Raw genomic sequence first — 10,363 nt, forward strand, 5'->3', positions numbered from 1 at the left:
TGTAGATGTTGCAGATGCTGTTGGACTTGTTGAGATGGGTGACTCTGAACCTTCAGCTCTAGGTTCTCTGAAGACCTTGCTTTATGTGTAGGTCTTAAATAGGGAACATACTAGTTTCCATTTTCAGAATTTACTTTCTACGTCTGATTTTGCTTTCATTTATTTACTCTCTACATGGGTATAGAGTAGTTTTTCAACCAGTTTTGTGTGTGTGTTTGTGTGTGTATGTGGTCATTATTGACACTCCCTTCTCTTGCCTGCCTCCAGAGTCTTTTAAGAAATTTTTTTCTTAATTGAAATTAAATTTTTATTAAATTTTAATAACAAATATATTGTATATCTCCTTATGTACTGTATGTATGTCTACTTTGCACACTAAAAGAAAAAGCATAAAGTTTACTTTTATTATTTCTTGATCTGTTAGGAATGGCAAAGTAATTTAACTAAAAGTTAAATTTTTAAAAATTTGACATTTAACTTAACTCTGAGCAGCAACTTTTAATTCACTCTATTTGTTTATATAAATTATCTCAAACAAATTTGCAAATTAAGAATGTATTAGTAATATACATAATAATACAAACATGATGACATGCATAAGTTTCTTAAAGGTAAAAAATGAAATTGTTTTCTTAAGTTTGATTTTTAGTGTACTTAACTTTTAATTTTGCTTTAAAAAATAAACTAATTTTTAATTTCACTAGCTGCTACATATTCATCCAGAGTGTCAGCATTTTATTCTTTTCAGCATTTGACATTAACTGTTGATGTGTTGAAAATATTTAGTAGAATTAAATAATAACATATACATGATTTGTATTTAATTCTCAAAGTCTACCTAATACTCAGAATCCCTGAAGCTCAAACATAAGCAACATCTGGAAGAAAGGCAATCACAGCAAATGATGGAAAGAAAGTCCTCCAGTAAGCCATCTATTCGCCATAGATTTATAACACTGATTGTGCATGTATTTTGTCTGTTTCTACTGAATTCAATGTCAGTATGTCTTGTGCGATACACAAGAAAATTCAATAAGGAAAGTGAACACTAGAGAATAAGATTATGTAAGAATTGAGCTTTGGAGGACCACAAACTATTGTAATATCTGAGAGTTGTTCACACCCCCAAGAACTAATTTCTACAACCTTGGGGGCAATACCATCTCCAATAGAAATACACAACTTTGAAAATATCATCAATTTTATTTTTTTTGTATTTTTGCATTAAAGTTCAAATTCCTCAACATATATTTATAGTTTCTAAACCAAGTCAATTCTATTAAACAAAGAGAAACCATCTTTGTCCTAAATTCATAACTGGATAAATATTATCATGTTAAGCATTAACTTACAACTCCAATCCTGAGCGCTGGGATTTTTTTTTTTCATAGCAAGTTAAGTTGCCTCAGACCTATAGATTCCCTCTCTTAAAATGGTAAGTATGGAATCATCTTTGGCAAATCATCTCTTTAGTAACTGGACTCTGTTCTGTTGACTGCATTATCCTCAGTACCAGGCCTAGTGTACTTATTCAAGAAATAGTTTTTGCTGAAGCAATTTATCATACTTTCTCTTTATACTAGAAGGCATTCATGGGTGACCAAGCTATTTTGTTTCCATCATGGCCATATTTGTTAGGATTATAACAGACAATGGCTAATATTTCCACTCTACTCTTACTAAGTGTCAATAATGATTATAGAATGTATTGCCAAACCCACTGGATATCTAATTCCTTTAAGGTATATACGGCACTGGGAATTCAAATGCAAGCACAACATAATTTTCAGCCTTTGCGTAGCACTATATTAAACTATATTATGACCTCATGTCTAAATTGCCCTCTACATTTTATAATATAAATTAACCAGCCTGGTGTCATAATATCGAGCCAAATGTCCAAACTCAAACTCTCCCTGATTCACACAGCTTACAGCAATCAGACAACAAATTACACTACATTTTGTGGGTAGTACCCCTGTGATCCCCAAGTCATCAATCTTCTAACTTTCCTGCCGTTGTTTAATAAGGCCAACTTCCCAGAATGTGTGTGTGAACTATAAATTGTTGGGACTTCATTTTTCCATCACCCAGAGATCTAGGCTTTAAATCATTTGATGATATTTAGATGACAACAGTATAAAATCAACATGTCTATATGAGGATAGAGATGAGATAGGATCAGTTTTTTAAATAAACTAAATGCATTTTAGTATTTATTATTTTTAGTGATTTACTTAAACTCTTTATATCATTAATTAACTTAGACTCTTTATATCATTAAAATGCTCAGAGTTCTGAAATGGCTACAGGAATTTCCATAGTAAATGAACTTTCTTTCCAAAAATGTATCTTGCAAAAATTAATAACTTTTATAAGGTAATCCAGTCAACACATTTTTATTGGATTTTAGAGTTTAACCTAATCATCATAGCTTTTGAATGCAGGACCGTCCTGCTTAAGCTATTATTCTTAGTCTATCAAACACTGGAAAAGGAACCTTTTTTTTTTTTTTTTTTTTGAGATGGATTCTTGCTGTGTCTCTCAGGCTGGAGTGCAGTGGCAAGATCTCAGCTCACAGCAATGTCTGCCTCCTGAGTTCAAGCAATTCTCATGACTCAGCCTCTCAAGTAGGTAATACAGGCGTATGCCACCACACCTGGCTAATTTTGGTAGAGACAAGGTTTCACCATGTTGGCCAGGCTGGTCTCGAACTCCTGAACTCAAGTGGTGTGCCTGCCTCAGCCTCCCAAAGTGCTGGGATTACAGGCTTGAGCCACCATGCCCTGCTGGAACATTTTTATTTGTTTACCTGGATTGTGCTGGGGACTTATGTATATTCCCTTTTCATGTGATATTTTGCTATGCAAATTTGTTTTGCCACTCCTGGACATGTTTTATTTTCATCTTCATTTCATGTCAATAAGAGTATGTAAATATGACAAAAACAACTGAAATGTACAATGTTTCTATATAGTCCTCATAACACCAGGTGTCTTTCTTTCTCATTTCACTTTCCTAGAAAGTAAAAGTCGTCTGATTTCACATCCCAATGCACAGAGACAGAAATAAAACATTTGTATGTCTAAATGAGAAAAATTTAAGAAGGAACACAATAGAAATTAGAAAATAATAAACTAAAAAACCAAATATACCAAAACTTATACAATGAAGTGAAAGCAGGGCTAAGTGAGAAATTTACAGACATAAAAGCTTATAAAGAAGAGAGTTCAAATCAACAACTGATATAGTTTTGTTCTGTGTCCCCACCCCAATCTCATCTTGTAGCTCTCATAGTTCCCACATGTTGTGGGAGGGACCTGGTGGGAGATAATCAAATTATAGGGGCAGGTCTTTCCCATGCTGTTCTCATGATAGTGAATGGGTCTCCCAAATCTGATAGTTTTAAATGAGTCTCACAAGATCTGATCTGATAGATGAATCGGTCTCACAAGATCTGATAGTTTTAAATGGGTCTCACAAGATGTGATCTGATAGTGAACAGGTCTCATAGGATCTGACAGTTTTAAAAATGGGAGTTTCTCTGCACAATCTCTCTCTTTGCTTGCTGCCATCCATGTAAGATGTGACTTGCTCCTCCTTGCCTTCCACCATGTTTGTGAGGCCTCTCTAGCCATGTGGAACTGTAAGTCCAATAAACCTCTTTCTTTTGTAAATTTCCCAGTCTCAAGTATGTCTTTATCAGGAGCATGAAAACAGACTAATACAACAACCTTATTGTACACCTTAAGTAACTAAAAAAAGAAGCGCAAATAAATAAATAAACCCCTAATCTAGCAGAAGGAAGGAAACAATAAAGCTGGAGCAAAGATAAATAAAATAGAGAATAGAAGAGCAATTATAAAAAAAATCACTAAAACTAGGGTTGATGTTTTGAAAAGTACAGCAAAATCAACAAACCCTTACTAGATTATTTTTTAAAAAAGAGTATACTCATATAACAAAATCAAGAATATAAGAGGAGACACTACAGCTGATGCCACAGAAATAAAAGGTCATAAAACTATGAAAATTATGCTTCAGCAAATTGTATAACCTAGAAAAAAATTGATGAATTCCTAGAAACATACAACTTACCAAGACTGAATCATAAAGAAATAAAAATTTGCAATAGACCTATAAGGGATTGAATAAATAATTAAAAATCCCTGAAAAAAGAAAAGCCCTGGGCCAGATGGCTTCACTAGAGAATTCTATCAAAACTTCAAAAAATTAACAGGATCTTTCTCAAACTATTCCATAAGATTGAAGAGGAGGGAACACTTCCAAACTAATTTATGAATCTTGCATTAACCTGACATAAAATTCAGTGAAGGACATGATATGAAAACTACTACAAACCAATATCTCTGATGAATATTGATGCAAAAACCTTCAGCATAATACTTGCAAACCAAATTTAACAGCACATTAAAACGATTATATAACATGGCTACATGTGATTTATTCCTGGAATATAAGAATGGTTCAACACAGAAATAAATCAATGTAGTAACCTACATGAACAGAATGAAGGGAGGAAAAACCATGATCACCTCAGTTGATGCTGAAAAACCATTTGATAAAATTCAATATCCTTTCATGATTAAAAAAAAAACACTCAACAAACTAGGACTAGAAGGACATTAACTCAACATGATAAGGGCTATTATATGAAAATCCCACAGTAAACATCATGCTCAACTGTGAAAAATTACACGTTTTTATTCTAAGTTCAGGAAAAAGGCAAGAATGTGCTCTTACAACTAGTATTTCAAATCCTGGCCAGAGTATTTAGGCAACAAAAATAAATAACAAGCATCCAAATTATAAAGGAAAAAGTGAAATGATCTCTGTTGGCAGATGACATATTCTTATATGTAGAAAAACCTAAAGATTACACACACACACACACACACACACACACACACACACAGAGAGAGAGAGAGAGAGAGAGAGAGAGGGAGACAGAGAGAAAAGAGAGAGATAACTTATAAATGAATTGAGCAAAGTTGCAGTATACAAAATCAATAAACAAAAATCAGCGGCATTTCTATATACTAACAGTGGATAATCTTAATAGGAAATTAAGAAAATACTCTAATTTACAATAGCATCAAAAAACATAAAATATTTAGGAATAAACTTAACCTAGGATGTGAAAGACATGGACACTAGAAACTACCAAATACTACTGAAAAAATTAAAGATGACAAAAATAAATGGGAAGACATTTACTTGTATCCATCATGGGTTGGAAGACTTAATATTGTTAAAATCTGCATGCTCTCCAAAGTGTTATACAGATTCAATGCAATCTCTATCAAAATCACAGAGGCATTTTTAACAGACATAGAAAAAATATATCCTAAACGTCATGGTCTCTGGGTTGCTGAAACAATCTTGATAAAGAAAAACAAAGCAAGAGGTCTCATATTTCCTAATTTTGAAACATATTATGATGCTACAATAATTAAGGCAGCATGGCACTTGAATAAAAACAGACATATAGACTAATGGAATTAGTTTATTAGTGAATGAGCTTCTCTAGTGCTTTTCTTCTTCTAGGATATATTCATTCAGGTTCATGTGGTTGTGCTTCCCTGGGCACTCAAGATTCGATTAATATGGTCAAGGCCCTTTCTTTCATTAATTTATTTTATTTTTGGAGACAGAGTCTTGCTCTGTCACCCAGGCTGGAGTGCAGTGGCACAATCTCGGCTCACTGTAACCTCTACCTCTCGGGTTCAAGCTATTCTCATGCCTCAGCCTTCCAAGTGCTGGGATTACAGACATGCCCCACCACACCTGGCTAATTTTGTGTGTGTGTGTGTGTGTGTTTGTGTGTGTGTGTTTGTGTGTGTGTGTGTGTGTGTGTGTGTGTGTTTTAATAGAGACGGGGTTTCACCATGTTGGCCAAGCTGGTCTGGAACTCTTGAGCTCAAGTGATCCGCCCGCCTAGCCTCCCAAAGTGCTGGGATTACAGGTGTGAGCTACCCGACCCAGTCCATTATTTTGTTACTGGAGAAATATAGCACTTCTCAGGCTTTACCAATACCCCTAAGAGGAATTTCATTATTTTTTTTCAGGTGCATGTGGGTGTGGAAATTTTAATATCAAAATAATGTTATTTCCTTAGTATCACATCACTCACAAGGTATTTATCACATCAAGTTATTCCGTAAGTGTAGGCTCATCAAATCCTGATGATTTTGGAACTCTTTTCCCAAGGAGGGCCTTGCTTCTTTGTTGCCAAAATAATAAATGCCCCTGACCCTTGCTCTTGCCCCTAGAGTTTTGTGTGAAGGAGTATTTGCTCCCAGTGGTGACCCCCTCATCTCCTGACCCAGATCCTAGGTACCAAAAGTCTCAACACCCCTAGAAGGCTGATTGCAAAGGTTTGTTTTGTCTAAGTAGGTAAAGGAATTATCCTATTGTGATTATTTTATCTTTAGTAGTTAAATAATTTTAACTTTGCCAAGTACAGCTTTTATTCTTCAACTGTTTTGCTATCTTCAACTCTTTTAAACTATGGAACAGTTTTATGCTTGAAATTTCTGAGCTAGGCACAAAAGACTCAAAGGTAATGTTTCTCTTCAGAGGCTCATATTACAGAAAATGGTGACCCTCAGTTGTTCACCAGTTCAGCGTGATCTGTTAAAGTTCTTTGCTCCTCTGTCTATGTGAAACTTTGATCGTGCAGGGCAGTGAGCTCCCATGCTATCATGTTAAACAGTCATAGCCATCTTTCCTTTACTGATTGATTTGTGATTCTTCATTTTAAATTTAAACCTCAACAACAAATGAATTTTTAGAACGCCTTTTTAACGTAGTGGTTTACTGGGCAAAGTTTGTCTTGCTGCTACCACATTACATTCTAATTCACTATGAAGTCACACAAACAAAGGGAAATAAAAGAAAGGCAAAAGAGCCGCAGTGGTTTTCTTTATAATTTCCAGATTTTGTGGTTTTCTTGTCTCTTGTTTCAACTTTTCTAGAAAGTAGTACTTGACAGTTGTTTGTAGGCAGAAAGAAAACAGAAGCCATTCTGACTGTCATGAAAGTGAAAGAAGGGAAGTGACTTTCCCCTGACTAATTGCAAAGTGTAAGTTAGCAAAATTCAATGCAGCAAAAATTGAGGACTAGAGCCTCTGGCAGAGTGAAAACATAACGCCAATGTTGAGGTGCACAAAGGCAGAAAAATGGCTGCATCTGCCAGAGGTTCTAAGAAAAGCAATTCCTGGGTCAATGGACTGAATTCAGCTTTCCAAGACCAGCTACTTGACTTTCTTTCATATAATTCACATGTGATCAGCTCTAGACAGAAGGGAGAAGTCACACCAATCAATTCCCAAAAGCCTGTAAGCAGGCTGCAGTCGCTAGACAACCAACAAAGTTGTCTGGCAGGATAATGCATATTAGCCTTGCCTAAAGACTCCACCTAGTTAATAAATTTACTCAGGCAATGAAAACATAGCCTTGAGAAACCAGGAATTAATGGAAGAGAATTGGATGATCCCAAAAGATTCTATTTTAATCTGGATGATAATATCAAAAATGATAACACCAACATTTATTGCAGGCCTAATAGGGACCATCCACTGTTTTAAGATTTTCCTTTTTGAGACTGGGTGTCACTCTGTCACCCAGGCTGGAGTGCAGTGGTGTGATCCCTGCTTACTGCAGCTTGACCTCCTGGGCTCAAGCAATACTTCTACCTCAGCCTCCTGAGTAACTGGGACCACAAGCAGGCATGACCACATATGGCTAATTTTTTGTAGAGACCAGGTTTCACCATGTTGTCTAGACTGGTCTTGACCTCCTGGGCTCAAGCAATCCTCCTGCCTCAGCCTCCTAATATGCTGGGATTACAGGCATCAGCCACTGTGCCAGGCTGTTTTATGATGTTTTGAAAATACTATCTCTGTCCTCTCAATAACACTATTTGGATTATACTCTTTTATAAAACTATTGGGAGAGAAATATAAATCTGCAGGGATGAACTATTCTGACCACACCAATAATGCAAGGTCGAAACCTTAGGGAGAATCATTATAATGGCTTGACTGGAAGGACCCATTAAAGGAAGGGGGGATAGATATGAATTTATCAACCAAGGAGAGACCAGGGCATAAAATCAATACAGCAGAGAGGGTGAGATGACAAAGGATTCTGAGATTCATTTTGAATGCCAAACATTTGCTCGTGCTGTATAGAGCAACAGGGGGTGTGGTGTAAGTGAATTGAATTAACTGCCTTTAAGTTCTAAGGAAAAGTAGACTAAATATATTCCTTTTTTTTTTTTTTCCTTTTTTGAGACAGAGTCTCACTCTGTCGCTCAGGCAATGGCGACATCTTGGCTCACTGCAACCTCCACAGCCTGGGTTCAAGCGATTCTCATACCTCAGCCTCCTAAGTAGCTGGGATCACAGGCACCTGCCACCATGCCCAGCTAATTTTTGTATTTTTAGTAGAGACAGGATTTCACCATATTGGCCAGGCTGGTCTCGAACTTCTGGCCTCTAGTGATCTGCCTCAGCCTCCCAAAGTGCTGAGATTACAGGCATGAGCCATCATCAAGTGAAAAAATAATTAGTGATGTATTCAAAAATATACTAAAACAACTCTATTAACCCATCAACTACAAACTCCTGGAAGCCAATTTATTTTTTTACTCTTGAGTTTTTTTATGTATTAAGAATAAAGAAAAAGCAATGAACAATTTCCAGGACAGCCCAGCAGTACATGCTCTGATTTTTTGCTCCTTCAGGACTCACAGGTCAGCCTCCCCATCAAACATGTAAACTATAGAGATGTAAGATGTCCCCACCAAACATCTAAACTGTATAGCATCTAAGCAGCCTAAGGCTTTCACCAGATGCCCAGCACTTTGGGAGGCAGAGGCAGATGGATCACTTGGGCTCAGGAGTTCAAGACCAGCCTGGCCAACATGGTGAAACCCCGTCTCTACTAAAAATACAAAAAAAAAAAAAAAAAAATTAGCCAAGTGTGGTGAGGCATGTCTGTAATCCCAGCTACTTGGGAGGCTGAAGCATGAGAATCGCTTGAACCCAAGAGGCAGAGGCTACAGCGAGCCAAGATTGTGCCACTGCACTCCAGCCAGGGCGACAGAGCAAGACTCTGTCTCCAAAAATAAAATAAATTAATGAAAGAAAGGGCCTTGTCCATATTAATCGAATCTTGAGTGCCCAGGGAAGCATAACCACATGAACCTGAATGAATATATCCTAGAAGAAGAAAAACACTAGAGAGGCTCATTCACTAATAACCATCAACCTCTGCTTACTATGTAAACTATAGAGATCTAAGTTGTCCCCACCAAACATCTAAACTATATAGCATCTAAGCAGCCTGAGGCTTTCACTAGTTGCCCAGTCTTCCAGCCAGAAGAATTGTGAGCCAAATAAACATTTTTTTCTTTATAAATTACTCAGCTTCAGGTATTCCTGGACAGTGTAACTGAACCCAGGTGCAGCTGCTCACCCCTCGAAAACCAAACTCAAGAGATGATAGTTGCTGGGGTCGGGGGAAGCAGGTTCATTAGGAAAGCCAGCAAACTGAGAAGATGGTGGACTAGCATCATAAATACCATCTTAAGACAGAACCAATTTTAGGCTCTTTTTATGTTAAGGGCTAGCAGAAGAGGAGGGCGTCAGGATTAAGAGGAGACCTTCAACAGTAGACATCTGGGCACCAGCGAGGGTCCAAGGAGTTTGGAAAATTATTTGTTCTTGGTCAGGTCACAATGCTCCTACAGTCTTTAACAAAACATAGTTGTTTACATCCTTCTTCTTGAATACCAGAGTTAGTTTTAAAAACTACATGACTGTTGTTTTTGCACATTATCTCAGTGCTCTAAAATAATCCCAATCTATGTGCAGGAATGGGTGTAGGCCCCATAAACAAAATGGAGTTCGTTATGTTAGGTATTTTGCTGTCTCACTGCTACAACTGCAACACAAAACGAATGCTTTTAAAGGGCTGCTTGCCAAGGCAAGTCTGGCTTTAACTACAAACTCAGCCACATTGCTTAGTATGGTTGTCTTTGGCTGTGTATGGTTGTCTATGGTTGGCATTATAATAAATGATATTTTCCTGTCATAGTAGTAGAAAGTTTTATCAAAAAATAAATGTTTACAAAGTGAAAATTGTAAGGAACACCTCTTACAACCAAGCAGTTCCAAAGCAAACAGAAACAAATATGGTGGGCTCGCTGAGCACTTTCATGCATTGTTGTGCATCTGTATAAGTGTCATATGCTTTGTGAATTTTTGTTTTGCAATCATTTGTACTCATTCATTCATTTATTCATTTTCCAATGCACTTATTCCATTTCAGGGTC

General features: G+C 36.7%; 1 annotated feature.

Moving 5' to 3' along the window:
• Positions 6,798 to 6,897: an enhancer, noted in NCBI's record as "active region_28239". NCBI's record gives its function as "activates an Ori minimal core promoter by ATAC-STARR-seq in GM12878 lymphoblastoid cells {active_cell/tissue: GM12878}" and the evidence as "EXISTENCE:reporter gene assay evidence [ECO:0000049][PMID:35858748]".

The sequence above is a fragment of the Homo sapiens genome, chromosome 9, assembly GCF_000001405.40.
Source record: "Homo sapiens chromosome 9, GRCh38.p14 Primary Assembly".
Classification (NCBI taxonomy): Eukaryota; Metazoa; Chordata; class Mammalia; order Primates; family Hominidae; genus Homo; species Homo sapiens.